The sequence below is a fragment of the Homo sapiens genome, chromosome 3 (genome assembly GCF_000001405.40).
Source record: "Homo sapiens chromosome 3, GRCh38.p14 Primary Assembly".
NCBI lineage: Eukaryota > Metazoa > Chordata > Mammalia > Primates > Hominidae > Homo > Homo sapiens.
Genome location: NC_000003.12, coordinates 109135617 through 109152839, shown reverse-complemented (window position 1 = coordinate 109152839; position 17223 = coordinate 109135617). Strand labels below are relative to the sequence as shown.

Here is a 17223-nt window from a genome sequence, read left to right as displayed (position 1 = left end):
TTCACAATGAAAACCTGCTTCAGAAGAGTTCAGAGTCACCACAGTATTTATGTTTGTAATCCTCCAGTAGAATATGTAAACATGGTCGAATATTAAATGAATGCTTCTGTGAGTGTATTTTTGGATAAGATTTACATTAAATTGGTTGGCTTTGGGTTAAGGAGATTACCCTGTATAATAGGAATGAGACTTATTTAATCAGCTGAAGTCTTGGAAGGAACAAAGAACTGACCTATCGTAAGGAAGAGGGAATTCTTCCAGCAGACTGCGTTAGGTGTTAAATGCAGCATTGGCTCTTCCCCTGTCTAAAGTCTGCCTGCCCACCCTGAAGACTTTGGACTTGCCTGCCTCCATAATCACGAGCCAATCCCTAAAATAAATCTCTTTCTCTTTACAGTCAGTCCTCTATTTACTATGGTTCAACTTACAATTTTTCAACTTAATTATGGTGCGAAAGTGATACACATTCAACAGAAACCATACTTTGAATTTAGATCTTTTCCCAGGCTAGCAATATGTGGTACAGCACTCTCTCCTGATGCTGGGTAGCAGCAGCCAGCCATGACTCCCAATCAGCCACACAAACACAGTACTCTATAGTAGACTGTGTTGCCAGATGATTTTGCCCAACTGTAAGCCCAGGTAAGTGTACTGAGTATGTTTAAGCATGTTTAGTATGTTTTCACACTGCAGTAAAGAGACTGGATAATTTATAAAGAAAAGAGGTTTAATTGACTCGCTTCCACAGGCTGTACAGAAAGCACAGCTGGGAAGTTCTCAGGAAATTTACAATCATGGCGGAAGGGTGAAGAGGAAGCAGGCAAATCTTCACACGGTGGCAGGAGAGAGCGAGCTAAGGGGAGATGCTACATACTTTTAAATAACCAGATCTTGTGAGAACTCTTTCACAAGACAGCACTAGGGAAATAGCGCTAAACCATTAGAAACCACCCCCATGATCACCACACCTCCCACCAGGCCCTGCCAGCAACACTGGGAATTACAATTTTTTTTTTTTTTTTTTTTTTGAGATGAAGTTTCGCTCTTGTTGCCCAGGCTGGAGTGCAATGGCATGATCTTGGCTCACCACAACCTCTGCCTTCCAGGTTCAAGTAATTCTTCTGCCTCAGCCTCCCAAGTAGCTGGGATTACAGGCATGTGCCACTACGCCGGGCTAATTTTGTATTTTTAGTAGAGACAGGGTTTCTCCATATTGGTCAGGCTGGTCTCGAACTCCCGACCTTAGGTGATCTGCCTGCCTCAGCCTCTCAAAGTGCTGGGATTACAGGTGTGAGCCACCATGCCCGGCCATGGGAATTACAATTTAACATGAGATTTGGGTGGGAACACAGAGCCAAACCATATCAGTGGGCTAGGCAAAGCTATGAGGTTGGGTAGGTCAGGTGTATTAAATGCACTTTTGACTTATGATATTTTCAGCGTGTGACGGGTTTATTGGGATGTAACGCCATCGTATGTTGAGGAGCATCTCTATATATACATATCCTATTGGTTCTGTTTCTCTGGAGAACCCTAATACACAGACATTCTCAATTTTTTATTAAATAATTAAAGAATGAAACTTTGTGTTAGTAAAATGTATATTATTGGTAAAACACTGAAGATATATTTATGTACAATCTCAAACTTATTTCCCACTGCAAAACTAAATGATTCATCATCTTTGTTTTGTTTGTTCAGATGTAATTTAAAAATCTATGTTCATATTTATTGGAAATGGATAGCAGTTAACTTAATAAGTTATAAATTAGCCTTAAATTTCTCACTGAAAACACCTCTAGGCCATAGGATGGGAAATGTGAAACACTGAGCAGCTGTCAGTGTCCTTTTGGAGAAGAAATTGCTGAGGCCAAAGTCCTTCCAGTCAACTTCTTGGCATTTGGTTTTTCTGATTTACTTGCCACTCAAAAAGTGCTTAAGATTGTTTTAAGACCACATAAGATCAACTAAGGTCTTAGGGAAATGTTTCCATTTACCTTAAAAGGTAAAAATAAATTGTTCGAGAGAACAACTAAAATAGAGAATAGAGAATGGAGATAAATAGACTTCTGAAGACAAAAATTCCATTTACCTGTGATTTTGGGGGGCAATCTTGGCAATTAGTTGTATCATCTCAATGCTTCTCAAACTGAGGTGGTAATCCATGAATATTAGGAAAGTTATAGGATAAATGCAGTCCACTTTTCCCTATGGCCAATTTTTCAGTTTTAATTGAAAAAATTATAAAATGTGCCTGGCCAGTGAGTCAAAACTGTTATTTCACATTAAAACAAACATCAATAAATTGTGGAACAGAATGCAAAGCTTACAAAAATTTTACAAAACTTGGAAGAAGTTTGCACTTACAAGTGAATGACTTCCATTGAGTTCCTAGCCACTATCTACTTGTTGTATTAAGGTAAGGCTGTATTCTCCACTCAGCAGTACACCTTTGATGAAAAACGTTTCAAAGTCATGGTTTTAAAATCGACTGACTTAAGAATGCGACAAGCACTGAAGAAGAGAGAAGAGGATCAGCTCCATTTGAGAGCTCCCTGTCCTTCTTTGAATTAAAAAACTCTCTCAAAGAAGAGGCAATAGAGAGTAAAAGCTATGAACAGAGTGGTTTAATGAAACTACTTTTCTTTGTTTATGTTTTTGCTTTCCTTTTCCCATAAATGCCATCGTTTTGGTAAATGTTATTACTACAGCCTTTTTTTTTTTTAGTTCTTTTTTTGAGAACTACCATTTATTGAGAATGTCTTATTCCAGTTTCCTACATGGGTTTTCATAACTACTGTTTTCAACAACTTTGAGACAGACATAATAAATAATGTAGTAAACAGCATGGATATACCCTCAGATCTCTAAAACCCATGGTTTTGGCACAATGCCATTCCAACCTCTGCCATCTTCATCCTCCTGCTTTAACCAGGAAAACATATTTACTGGGCAGTAGACATGTCAAAGGTGAAGGTATTCATATCCAAATAATACTGTGCTGTTGTTTTCAAAGCAATCCATGTTTCACGAGCCTTCAAGAAAAGGAAACACAAGTCATGATCTCTGAGTGTGTAGAACACATCTTGCATCAGTTATTCTGATTATCATACAGATATTCCTAAAAGATGAGAAAAATATAATGGAAGAATTATACCAAATAGAATTTGGTTTTCATACTTTTAATTATCTGTTTATTTCAATACTCAGATATTTTACAGTATTTGTGGGGCCACAGTATAAACCAATGTAGCAGAGTCTTGCTACATTACATAGTGCCTGTCAGTTGGTACAAATCTGGTCTACAAGTAGAGGCAGGAGAGTACCTGAAAATGTCAACATTCTATAAAGAAGACACAGTCTACCAGCCTACTTAATCACTTAATTGACCAAATAAACAAATGTCTTGTTTTAATAATGCTAAATAATGCCTATTGGACAAAAACAGCCATAAAACTGGATGCATTATTCAGTTAGTAGTTTTCATCAGCAAGTGCAAAACAAGCAGATCCTGGTAGACCGGTTAAGACCCAGTTATGTGGAGTACGGACAAGATCAAGGCCCCATGAAAACAAGGACATTCAACTTTTTATGACTTTATACAATCCTCATGCCTGATGATAATCAGATCCTGAGATATGTGGAAAGAAAGAAAGAATAAGTGAAAGAATTCATTCATTCATTATACAACTTTGTTTCCTAAATTGCTAAATTGTAAGAGGGAGATCATGAATAATTGAAATACTCAGATAATTCAGCAATTTCATTTGGCCTGGAGTTTTAATGTCTTCTTCTATCAGAAAAGTAAATATAGAATAAAAAAGGCCAATGCAAATTTCTTCTTTGTTTCTTTTGCAGCGAGAATGCAAATGAATAGGAAAATGTACAAAAGGCAAGCAAAAGGAGGAACAACATTAAAGCCTTGAATAATTGTCACCGGGGATATTTAGCTACTGAACAACTGAAAGTGAACTAAAGTCCGACCACTATCCATTCATCAATCTACACATACATGTAATAATTTATTAAGCTTTGACTATATAACAATCATTTTGCTAGTTCCCGAGAATAATTACCTTGAAGGATAAGATACAGACCCTACCTTTATAGTCTAGGTAGGTAGGTTGGGTACACAAAACAAGTAATTCCAATTGACATTTTGAGAGCTATTTATTTGTGAAAGAGCATGCAAAAAGGGAGAGAAGGAAAGACAAATGTCGCCCTGAGAAGAAGGGAAAGGCTTCAGAGGGACATTTGAGTCTAGTCTTTAAGCAAGAGGCAGAGTTTACCAGGCAAAAACCACTTCATGGGCAAGAAAAAGCAGATATAGTTCAGAGTGTCTAGAGAGGAAAAATCAGGGCTAGGCTAGTCATGTGTTAATTAGTGGTCAGCTAATGCAATGACTATTTAAAAAGATAAATGGTGAAGGACCATTTGTTTCTAATACAAATACCTGCTTAGCCAGTGTGTTTACCCACACATCTGAACTGTGATCTGGGTCCCAGTAATCCTGCAAATTTACATGTCTTTTGAGACGTAGGAACTGGTTTGCAGGGTCTTCCAACAAAAATGGCGCTCCCAATGCTCCTGCAATTTAGAGTCCAAGAGCACAGCATCTTTTAGAGCAATAGTTTACATCTCAATGTTTCCTCTTCAAGAGACCCAGCTGTGATCTTTGGTAGGCTGGGGGCCTGAGGAGGAAACTCTGGAAAAGCTAAGCTCTGAGTGAGACAGCTACTCCTTGGCCCTTTGTCACCACTGTATGCTAACCACTCAATTTGACCTGTATTTAGTTCACCTTGAAAGCCAGTGCTATGTGGTGGATGGAGCAGGATATCAGAGCTTCCATACATGCATGGGGGCCTCCACACCTGGATTCGAATTCCAGCCCTATCACTTTTCGGGGAAAGTTGCTTGATTTCTTCGCACTTTAGTTTTCTTGCATGTTAAGGGGTATAATAATGCACACACACTTGCTGTAAGGACTGGATAAATTGATGACTGTAAACTATCTGGCTCAAACTAGGCAGTCAACAATCTTATTCTTCCTTTCTTAGCCCTCCAAAATAGAACTGATCTTTCTGTTTGAACTATGCTGCTCCCAAACCTGACACTGTGGTTTGGCATTGATCAATTGTTGGCATTGATCAATTCACCATCAAATCGAACCACCTTGTATTTTGCAACTCCTTCCTACTCCAGGATTAAGAAGAAAAAAGAGATGATAATTTTTAAAAATCCAGACTTTTTAAAGATCTTGAGATTTTAACAATCTGTGTTGTATTTTCATTCTCAAGTAAAACACAATTGCGTTCAGAATTATAACGAACCAATACAAAGGAAGAACACATTCTCTCCTGACCTATATGTGACAACAATACAATCTGTTCATTGTGATAAAGAAGCATTTATTACAACATCTAATTGTGAGTAATGTTACATTAGGCACTTAACCTCATTATTAGCAGTCCTCTGTTGACCAACCTTCTGTATAAACCTGGGTTATAGCAAGCTATACGGTATAAAAATTCCCCTCTATGGGGCTCTCTGTTTATTTGGGATCCAGGGTCAAAGATAAAAGACAAAACGAGGCAACACAAGATTTGATTGCACTAAAGGAATTTAGGAGAAGATGTTGTTATTGAGCACTAAGACACTGGGGTACAAGTAGGCGTTTTCTCGGTCAAGGAAGTTGTTTCACCTGCTCCTTGAAGAAAAAATTGGATTTAGCAGGATGGGAGAAGGAGAAACATTTTTTAAAAAATTTAAGCCAGAGGAATGATGTGTTTCAGTATCTTAAAACAATAGTCAGAGTTGGCTAGATAGAAGAGTTTTATATAAAAAAATAATATTAGTTAACATTTAAACTTAGGAGGTATTAGTGACAGATGCCAGAATTAATACTGTTCTGCTGCTAGCTAATCCAATTTAGTATAATCCAACCAGCAAGTTTGTGGAAACCATCTTTTAAGGTGGCTCCCAAAAATTACTACTTCTTGTTATCCATATTCTTGTATAGTAGTACCCTCTTTTATTTAATAGGGCTGACGTACATAACCATAAGCTACTGTGGAATGACTGTGTGCAATTTTTGTGGCTAGGATATAAAAGACATTACAGCTTCTGCCTTGCCCCTCTTTTGGACCACTTGCTCTAAGAAAAGTCAGCTGCCATGTCGTGAGGGCGCTCAAGCAGCCCTGAGGGAGAAGACCACATGACAAGGAAATGATGCCTCCCACTAATAGCCAGGTAAGCGAGCCATCTGGGAACCTGATGTTTTTGCTCCAGTCAAGCCTTCAGATGACTGCAGCCCCCATTGACATCTTTACCGCATCGTCATAATAAATTCAGAGCCACAACCACTGAGCTAAGCCACTCCCAAATTCATGACCCTGCAACTGCAATAATATGTTAGTTGTTTTAAGCTGTTAAGGTTTGGAAAAATTAGTTATGCAGTAGTAGATAACTTATAGAATGCATTATACGCACTTACTGATGTCAAGGTAAATAGCTAATCACAAGGGTTGAGACTAGGTTGAGGCAAGTGAGACACCTAGGATAAAAGGAACTCACTTTCAGGGTCATACAAATTTTGTACCGTAAGTTCCTCACTTCTCTCACCCTAGTCCTTGCTCTGATTATCATCATTGCATGGAAAGATAAACAAAAATAACTCTTGCTAATCACTACTGCATGCAAAGATAGACAACAAATAACCCTTACCATTAAAGAATTCACATTATAGTCAGAGTTCATATATAATTAGAAGAAGACATATTTGATCAGACCATCCATAGTTGGAGCAATTTTGATACTGTCATGGACACCTCACAGAGAAATTTATTTTGAGTTGAGCTTCAAAGATTTGTTACACTTCAACAATGAGGATGAAGGGAGTGGAAGCAAAGCGCATGTATTCTAGGCTGAAGGAGACTGGAGAGTTAAAGAATGGAGGAGCAAAGGAAGATTCAGGGTTGGTGACTTTCATTTTACCAATATGATTGAAAGGTAGGGTTGTGGTGTAGATGTGGTCAGAGATAACACTGGAAAGGTAAGTTGGAGCTCAATTCTGAATGATTTTAACTGTCATACCAAAGGGTTTGGGCTTTACTCTAAATAATTAATAATCATTTCTGAATAAGAAAATGATAGGAAGGACCAGATTTACTTTTTAAAAAAATTGTTTGTATTATGGTAAAATATGCGTAACATAAAACATATCACTTGAACCAGTTCTGAATGTACAATTCAGTGGTATTAAATACATCTACAGTGTTTTGTAACCATCACCGCTATCCATCTCCAGGACTATTTCATTGTCTCAAACAGAAACTCTCACTCTTTAAACAACTCCGCATTAACCCCTCCCCAACCCCTGGTAACTACTATTCTACTTTCTTTTCCTATGAATTTGCCTGTTCTAGGCACCACATGTAAGTGGAATCATAGAGTATTTGTTCTTTTCCGTCTGGCTTACTTCACATGGCATAATACCATCAAAGTTCTTCCACATTGTGACATCAGTATTTCATTCCTTTTTTAAGACTGAGTAATACTTTATGTATTTAATATATATGTATATATACCACATTTTATTTATTCATTCACAGATTTACTCTGAAAGATCCTTTTGTCAGTGGTGTAAGGACAGATAGTAAAAGGAAGAGAAGAGTGAGGGACACGAGATCAGAGGCTATTCAATAGTCCAGATGAGAGATAAGAAGGGCCTGAATCTGGTGAACGTGGGATGGGAAAACAGGATTGATTTGAGGAAGACAGGAGGAAGGAACACGCATTCATTTGGGCTGACCAGTGTGGACTAACCAGCTTTGATTTTTTGCTTTTAGATGAAATGCACTAATGGGTCACTTTTCAGATTTCTGATTATTCTCTTTGAAGAAAAGGTGTGTGTTACAGTGTTACATATTTTATGTGCTATTATTCTGTTAATAAATAGGTGTTTTTTTCAAAACAAAATTAGTGGCTGTGCAAAATAGATCCAATTCCATCAGTAAACAATAAATAGGTCTAAGTAAATGATGCTTAGGATATGATTTATAGCTACATAGTGAATCTGTAGTAATTGCTTAAGATAGTGTTACTTGGAATTATCTAAAAGTAAAACCAGAATTCTGTACCATAGTCATCCTGGTGCATTATACAATCACTAAGAAAAAAATGCTATTGCATAAATCTTGGCAGAGAAGCATGCTTTAAAATATATACAATAGCTATTTTATGCTCTAATAATTCTGTCTTTTGTAAGTCTTTTACCTTTTGGTTCATGGAAAATGTTTTACCGATACAATCTCCTTCTCCTCCCTAGGACAAACCACCTACCTCAGCATTATAAGCCCGACAGGCATCCAATAAATCTTAATTGATGATGATGATAACACCACCCATGAGAGAGACAGAAACTAGTATTTATTATCCTACTTTACAAATTGAGAAAATTGACATGCAGAGATGAAATGACTCACTCAAGGTCATATAGTAAGTCAGTGGCAGGGCTGGAAATAAAAATGCAAGTAATATAGAAGGGCAGGCTATTATCCTCTCTGCTTGAGAAATTTCTCCTCCCTTTTTCATTCTGCCTGATCAACCTTGAAAGTTAGTGAGAGCAAGACCAGGGTTTTGTGTTTGTGAACCTATCTAATATTGCTGGGGTTTGAAAACTGAACCCTGAGTTTTATTGCTGTGTTGATTTTTAAATGAGTTTTTTAAAAAAATGTAGGCAATATCAACCAGGTTAATGCCTTTCTTAAACTTCATGATCATCAGCTATGAAAAATATCCTTCTCTCTTTATTTACAACTCCCTACACATGCCCCTTTTTTTACTCACATCATAGTCAGCTTTAATAGGATCTGTAAATGTTTTGTCTAAACATTTCTTAAATATCCTCTGCAGAAAATTCTGTAAAGTAGAAACAAGGCAAACACTTCAGAGTATAAAGCAAACACTATTTGGGATCACAGCTCTCCTTACACAAGCCAAGAAGGATCAGAGACCCAGAGTCTTTTCTTGGCCTCGCCAGTGACCAGCTAGGTCATTGAGCCACTTCTTATTCCTACACTTCCATTTTTTATTCTGTGAAACAAGTCTGGATTACACAACCACTAAGGTCTTTTCCAGCTCTAATATTTTGATCTGGAATGTATTAATAACAAATAGGTCATTAATCAAAAACTACTTTCTATGCATGGTATCGTGTTATCGGAAGCACAGAGAATATGCTTAGTGGGCACAGTTCCTACTACTTTCAAGGAACTTACTGAAAAATTTAGCACTGCGACAGTCAGAAATAAGTGAAAGAAAGGTCAGAGTAGACTTACCCAATAATTAAAACAAAACAGATAAAAATGTATTCATATTATGAACAAAGTGGGGAGTACCCATTGCAGGCTAATGAGCAGTATGAGCATAATGAAAACTGCATCATTAGAAATGAAAGTCTCTATGTTACTAGCACCCACAGAAAGCTGAAAAAAACTCTTTAAACATAATGGTGGGGAAAAGACAATATTCTATACCCTATACACATAACCTTGAAATGATACTTGTGGTAGGAACCTATATATCTAAAAGATCAGAAAGCCTAAGGTAAAATAAGATACAGAATTAAAGGACAGAGTCTGCTGGCAGATTTCTCTTTTTGCTGATGTAGAGGAAGCTCATTTAGGGTAAGCCTAGGCCCCTCTTCACCCCTATGTGTGCTCTGCTCCTGGGAAGGGGCAGTGCTTCACTTAATTTGTAAATCCAAGAAGTTTAACTTGACCATGTCCAGCTTAGCTCTTTCTTCTTCTCTTGAGAGTAAACTGCCCTCCTAGGGCATGCTTCCTGTTCTGGTTCTGCAACCTGCAATTGGTTATAAATTTGCCAAATTTGGGGGTCCAGTCATCAGGCCCTTTATGTACTTATACTAAGCTACATTTTCCAAATTAGCCCTTCTCAGGAATAAAGGAAATCGATTGCCTTCCATAATCTTATTTCTTTATTTCTCAACTTGATCAAAACTGGACAAAGAAGAAGGGTGCTATTTGTTGGAGGGTGGTGAAGAAAGAGTAGCTTAAAGAACCCAATAGTCTGTTGCTCAAAGCCTCACTAAAAAAGGAGGGAGAAAAAAAAAAAAACAGAGCACATGCCAGGGCACTCCGGTGGGAGCTTGTCATTCCCAGATAGGCACAACCGAATTATTTCCCATATGTAACCTTCAATGTCTGTATGTTTTTGAAATAAATGCAATGAGATTCAGTGGGGTCAGAAGACATAAAATATCTGGGCAGATCCATAGGAGAGGTCTACTGCTAGCTATTTCCCTTAGGGTCTAGGTAATACTGATATCTGGGGTATTACCTGATACCTGCTACTAGAGATGGAGAGTAAGCAGTGCAGGCTTGCTTAAAGTTCAAAGATATTTACGTATGGGATGGTGAAAGTAAAGCACTTAGCACTCAGCATAAGTACCTAATAATATTTATTGTTTACTATTTTTATTGAACTGCTGAGTCTCAGTCCTTGCCTTTAAAATATTTATTTTTTAAGAAAAGATGAAATAACTGCCCAGAAAATTATGGACACACACAAATTAAGTACTGAAATAAAGTATAAATGGTCACTAGGAGTAAAGTACAAAAGAGGATCTGGAGAAAAGGATATATAAATGTCTTAGTAATGGTGTAAAAATTTCCAAGATTTCTGTAAATGTAGGGGGAGTTATACGATTTAGTGAGAGACTAAAATACTCATGTTTACGTTCATGTTTTCTAAAACTTGAATATTCTCTTTGTTAAGTAATTTTTTTTTTTGAGATGTAGTCTTGCTTTATTGCCCAGACTAGAGTGCAGTGGCACGATCTTGGCTCACTGCAACCTCTGCCTCTGGGGTTGAAGTGATTCTTGTGCCTCAGCCTCCCGAGTAGCTGGGATTACAGGCATGCACCACCACGCCTGGCTAATTTTTGTATTTTTAGTAGAGATGGGGTTTGCCATTCTGGCCAGGCTGGTCTTGAACTCCTAACCTCAAGTGATCTGCCTGCGTTTGCCTCCCAAAGTGCTAGGATTACAGGCATGAGCCACCACGCCCCACTAAGTAAGTAATTTTTACACACAATGGCATAGCTATTTTATTTCTTTCCCCATTACCTTTGGTCACTGACCCAAAAATGTGTAGTGCAAGACAGAAGAGTTGTGTTTAGTAGAACATGTTCCCTCACTTTGCTTGAACTTGGATAAAAATTGGTGAGAAAAGGAGAGAGAGAGACAGATAATGGAAGAGAAGCAATTTGGGTTATGAGAGAAAAATGTGAAGGAGAAACAGAGGAGAATAGAAGAAAAGAGATGGAGAGAGAAATCAAGAAAAAAATCAAAGGAAAGATAGAAAAATGAAGCGGGTTTACAAAAGACAAAAGGTGAAAAGCCACAGGGCAGATAAAGGAAGTAACACAACAGAAGGCAAAGAGGGTGAAAGGAAACTGGAAAAAATGGAGAGGGGTGCTGAATTGCTGACCGGCTCTCATATCCTAGTGTCCTGTTCAGAGGTCTAACAGGGGCCGAGGTGGGGTGGCTCACACCTATAATCCCAGCACTTTGGGAAGCCAAGGTGGGTGGATCACCTGAGGTCAAGAGTTTGAGACCAGAATGGGCAACATGGTGAAACCCCGTCTCTACTAAAAATACAAAAATTAGCCAGGCATGGTTGTGCATGCCTGTAATCCCAGCTACTCAGGAGGCTGAGCCGGGAGAATCGCTTGAACCTGAGAGGTGGAGGTTGCAGTGAACTGAGATCACACCACTCCACTCCAGCCTGAGCGACAGAGAGAGACTCCGTCTCAAAAAACAAAAACAAAAACAAAACAAACAACAGCAACAAAAAAACAAAGGTCTAACAGGATGCTTTCTAACTGACCTTTTAACTCAGTAACTTCCACTTTACTGGCATTACAATTGCTGACATATTGAATATTTTGGAAAGTAAACAGGAAGTGGTGTCACTTGGGTTTAACTTAAATCTGTTCTAACCTGCTCTTAACACACATACACAATGTTGGCACTCACTCTTATGGCCACAGAATTTCCTTGGACATGTTTTTGGAGCTGGTGGTTCTTTTATTACTTTTAATCTTGTAGACATGGAAATTCATAATTCATGAAAGGCAGCATTGTATTTGATTCAATAGTGACTCTTTCTGGGTCATTGCCTACATGTGTTGATGGGATCCCCATCTCCATATACATATGACAGATGATGCCATATGTGTAGGAAAACAGTTTTTCTACAGCACCCAGACTGCTCAATGAATCTAGTCATAAGCAATGACATTGAGACAACCAAGTATAAAGGGGTCCCAGGAGAACCTCCGACCAGCCTGGTCACTGGGAGAAGGGGTGGACCCACGGAAGCTCAGGCCGTTTGCAGCGGGGAGGGGCCTGGCCCTTCCTGTTCCTGTGTAGGAACCTGGGATTCAATCTGTGAAATGAGGGCCTGTTAACAGGAACCATTCTCCTACTTTGCTGTGTTGTTTTACCGTTTTCCTTTTCGTCCAATAAATTCCGTCCCCTTCACCCTTCAAAGTGTCTGCGAACCTAATCTTTCCTGGTCACATGACAAGAACCTGGATTTTCCTACAACAACATTTTTTTTTCCAGCCAAATTATTTTCCAGTTTATTCTCATTATGTATCTTCTTGAGAGTATCAATCAGTCATAAGCCCAAGTGAGTAGGTAAAATTAAGAACAAAATCTTTAAAAATAAACCAAAACTGTGTCAGAGAATACAGAATCTCTAAGGAATTGGAGGGCTGCAGGGATGACTGAAAAGGGCTAGTCTTCCTATGGTAGAGAAGAAAGCAAAAAGAAAGGGATTGGGGATGCTGACAGGGTTGTGTGTTAGAATATGTGAGCTTAAAAGCTCTTGTCAAAAAACAAAGCAAATCAAAAATCTTTCAAGACAAACTGGCATTGGTTACTAACTGTGGAGTGAAAAATAAGAGGTGGAACTACCAGAGGAAAAACAGACCAAAGGCAGCTTATTATTCTCCCTGTCTAAAACCAGAAGACATACTTGCACTTTATGGACAGATCTGATCGCAGGTCAACAATATGGGCATGGACCCCCAAATCGTTTCGTGTATGGGTCAACTCCAGCTGCCAAATCTGATCAGGAGAACATGATTGCTAAGGGAAAATAAATCTATTTTTCATTTTAGCAGAAGAATGAAAGCAATCCTTTAAAAAAATACACAAATGAGAAACAACAAAAAAAACCCAGTATAAATCTTAATAGCGTTCAAAAGTTGGTTCACTTAGAAAAACACTTTTCAAATTTGTTTTTTTTCCATATTTCCATATTTCCTTTGTATGTGATATAAAGCTGTTTGGTTTTAATAAATGCCCTGTTGCTACTCTTCACCATTAGTACAACTAGGAACTGTCACTGAAAGTCATTGGTGGTGTCCTGGTTCTGCTCAATTTTGTCAGGTAAGGTCACCCAGCTTCTTAACTCCTGGTTGTTTCTTATGGAAGCAACGGCTATGATACTGCCTCTACCACTTTTTCAAGAGGACGTCTTGCTCTGTGAGCTGCTGCTAGCCCATGTCAGTCACTGCAGTGCCAGAGGGGAGAGTTTGTGTAGCAGAAAGAAGAGTTTTGTTCTCATAAGTGGTAGATGTAGGATTAGGACATGAATGCAGCTTCTACCATTGATTGACTGTGTAGCTTGGTCACTTGAATTCCCTAAGCCCTCAGTTCCCTCTTTCTGTAAAATGAGGAGCATAGCATCTATTAGTATTTTCAGAGTGGTCATGAGAACTGACTAAGATAGCCTATGCAAAGTCCCTGACACATAAAAGGAATTTAAATTAGTAGCATTAATATTTGCTGATTTCATTATAGAAGAAGGCAATTAAAATTTTTTTTCTTTATCTCTCCTTCATTTCTGAAAGAAGGCAATTCTTGACCTAAATGTTCAAGACAGGTTTATATGCTTATTTTTTAAATCAAATCACAACACTTGAACTTCTAATTCTCTGACTAGAGAATCAGCTCCAATGCGTATAAGTTACTGTTTTGAAAATAATCAATAACTTGTCAACTCTGCCCATAAATTTAATTACTTGGATAAGGCCTTTCATTGTTTTTGGCCTCAGCATTCCCATCAGGAAAATAGATAAATGAGACCTTCTCCCTACCTCCCTTAAATCAAATTCTAAAGAAAAGTAATTTGTTGGACGACTAAGCTATAATAGAGAAAACTTAAAAAACATGAAAATAAACTTTAAAAAAAAATAGTGGTTTTCTTATAATAAGCAGAAGGGCTTCAGAGAAGTACAGATGAATAGGCTGTATTCTTAAAAGAAAATGTGGAGGAAAAGAAGCAAAGAAAGTTCATTCAAGCTACTACTTTCTTCTCTAGAGCTACATGATGTAGAAACTGTCAGCTAAACCAGTTATTGTAATGAATGAATCCAGTTCTGAAGGCATCAGTCTCCTCAATCTGCAAGCAGTGAAGCCTTCTTTCCTGAGATCTGAAGGGCTAATCCAGCAGTGTGCATACACCTCTGTCCTTAGTTTCTAGTTCTCAACTTGCTATTTCATAAACTTCAACTAGATAACTTTATTATTTTTTTTTAGAGTCAAGTCAATCAAACCAGTTGTCTTTATAGGTAGACATATTTGTATCTCAGTTGGAGTTGAAGTAAATTCAAACTTGTTTCTTAAGAAAGTCTTTGAAGCCTCTTTAAAAATTTTGCAGAACCATTTCCTTTGTCAAATATTTTTGACCCTGAAGCATTCATAGGTGAATGTGGACCAGCCAGCATTGCTTTAGCCTTGCAGGCATCCACCACCGTTACCCCCTCTAAAGTCAACTGCACGGATCAGTGGTCAAAGCAAAGCATTACACTGGTGAGTTATAACCAGCTAATGTCTTTAAATTACAATGTGCTCTGAGACACTCACTTAAACTGAGCCAGCCTCACTTTCTTCATCTGGCAATGTGGGCTGTAATTGTGTATGATTGTATATGCTTTGGTTATAACTGCTTAATAATAACTTGGCTAAAAATGTTTCAATCACATATTTAAACATGACCCAACAGCAAATTGCAATATTTATGATTAAAACTCATTATTAAAATTATTTCTATGTTTAGGAATTGAAGGCTTATTTTATATATATATATATATATATATATATATATACACACACACACACACACATATATACATCTATCTAGCTGTGTGTGGGAAGGGCTTCAGGAAAAATATAATTTTTGTGCATGAGTCTCAAGATTTTCATAGAAGCAAAAGTTTATTCTAATTTAAGCATCTGCATCAGAAATATTTATAAATTATAGAGATTTAACCATGAAGATAATTTATATCTTTGTAAGTGTTTTCAGTTTTTGTTACAAGCAAAACAAATGACCTCTCAGTTCAATTTTGATAGAAGCCACTGAGTTACCGGGTCATTTTGGCAGCAAATCGCCTGGCCTCTGGTGCCTTCCTTGATCTGCCTTTAAAGCACCACTTTGAGCTACAGCTTGCCCTAAAGGTTAATAAATTCATGTTCCCAAAGTACTTTGAGGTCTTCATATAATGGTACTATGTTAAGTATTATACTTCTGAAAGATATTTTAAAATTTTCTTTGTTCAAGGACACAACAGCACTTATTTGGAGGCAGCAGCAATTAGGCTTCTTAGCAACAGTATCATGTTAATATATAATTAGAAATAAAATGATCACACACACACACACACACACACACAGTTAACATTAACATGTTCAAAACCACAGCCTTCTACAATAGTTTGGTTTCCCCAGTGCTATAGAATAGGCCTATGGATAAAAACGTGTTTGTTCATTTCTTTAAGAAGACAAAAGGAATTATCAACCTGATGGCTGTAGGAGACATGATAAATAAAAAAGAAATAGGCTCTTACCGATAAGCAATGTTGAGCACAGGACTACTTGAAGCATTTTATAGGCCATGATCCTATTTTGGGAAAAAAAAAAGATTTATTTACTTTAATTTAGCTGGAAAAAGCCTTAGGGTATATCAGGTACTTTTCAGAAGTATAAAGCATTTGTTGCATACCTGGAAGCCCTGTGAGCTGAGACACAGAGAGAGGCTGAGGTGGCTTTTTTATACACCTCTTGCCTTTTTACCCTTTGGACTTTTTGAACTGGCTTTTTACAGGCTGTTCTTATGTGGGTAATTTATTTATTTACTAATTTTACCATCTACATAGATTAACGTAATGTTAAAAAAAGGTAGAAAAACTGGATCACTCACGTATTGCTGGTGGAAATGTAAAATTTTCCAGTCACTTTGTAAAACAGTTTGGTGGTTTCTTAAAAATTCAAGCTTGCAATTACTGTCCAACCCAGCAATTACACTACTGGGCCTTTGTTTCAGAGAAATAAAAACTTAACGTTAAGAAATAATCTGTAGAAGAATGTTCATAACAGCTTTATTAGCAACAGGCAAAGACTAAAAACAAGCCAGATGTCATTCAACAACTGAATGTTAAAGCGTGATATATCTATACCGTGGATTACTACCAGCAGTCATAATAATAACTATTAAAAATAATAATTATTGGCTGGGTGTGGTGGCTCACACCTATAATCCCAGCACTTTGGGAGGCCAAGGTGGATCACCTGAGGTCAGGAGTTCGAGACTGTCCTGGCCAACATGGTGAAACCTGGTCTGTACTAAAAATACGAAAATTAGCCAGATGCGGTGGCATGCGCCTGTAGTCCCAGCTACTTGGGAGGCTGAGGCTGGAGAATAGCTTGAACCTGGGAGGCAGAGGATGCGGTGAGCTGAGATCATGCCACTGCACTACAGCCTGGGCGACAGAGCGAGACTCCATCTCAAAAAAAAAAAAAAGTTTAATTAAAAACAAGGAATGTTTTACTGCATTGTAAAATGTGTTTGTTTCCAAAAACAGTACATAATCAATACAACCAGAACAGTACTTTCATTTTTCAAGCAATTGCCCTTTTCAGTGCCTTGATTAATCGACTGAGTTCATCATCATACAATTTATTCTTAATGACAAATTATGCCTGTGTGCCAGTTTCATTAAGATTATGCAATCTGTAATGAATTGGTATGGATCTATAAAAGTGGTAGAAAACAACTTTGTTGATGACTATCTTTAAATTGTAAAGGGTGTTTAGAAACCTACCTGGGAGTTATGCCTCCATTTAATGA

General features: G+C 37.7%; 1 protein-coding gene across 2 annotated transcripts; it reads right to left on the bottom strand.

The window, feature by feature from the left end:
• Positions 1-1438: 1438 nt before the first annotated feature.
• C3orf85 (chromosome 3 open reading frame 85) lies at positions 1439-16121 on the bottom strand. Of its 2 annotated transcripts, NM_001351622.2 has the most exons (4): positions 16099-16121; positions 15944-15996; positions 4454-4587; positions 1439-3035 (listed from the first exon to the last, which is right to left on the bottom strand). In NM_001351622.2, the coding sequence occupies exons 2-4, from the start codon at positions 15990-15992 to the stop codon at positions 2946-2948; spliced, it is 273 nt and encodes a 90-aa protein (NP_001338551.1). In that variant the 5' UTR covers positions 15993-15996; positions 16099-16121; the 3' UTR covers positions 1439-2945. The 2 variants fall into 2 exon arrangements, 1 of the variants encoding a protein (NP_001338551.1); NR_161294.1 differs by lacking the exon at positions 4454-4587.
• Between the last annotated feature and the right edge of the window lie 1102 nt (positions 16122-17223).

Bases quoted from the DNA above. Each gene is read 5' to 3' on its own strand.
- C3orf85 (NM_001351622.2), bottom strand. From the start codon at position 15,992: ATGGCCTATAAAATGCTTCAAGTAGTCCTGTGCTCAACATTGCTTATC. The intron at 4,588-15,943 runs GTAAGAGCCTAT...TCTAAATTGCAG, and splicing joins GTGCTCAACATTGCTTATCG to GAGCATTGGGAGCGCCATTT. The intron at 3,036-4,453 runs GTATTTGTATTA...CTTTTCTTGAAG, and splicing joins TAAACACACTGGCTAAGCAG to GCTCGTGAAACATGGATTGC.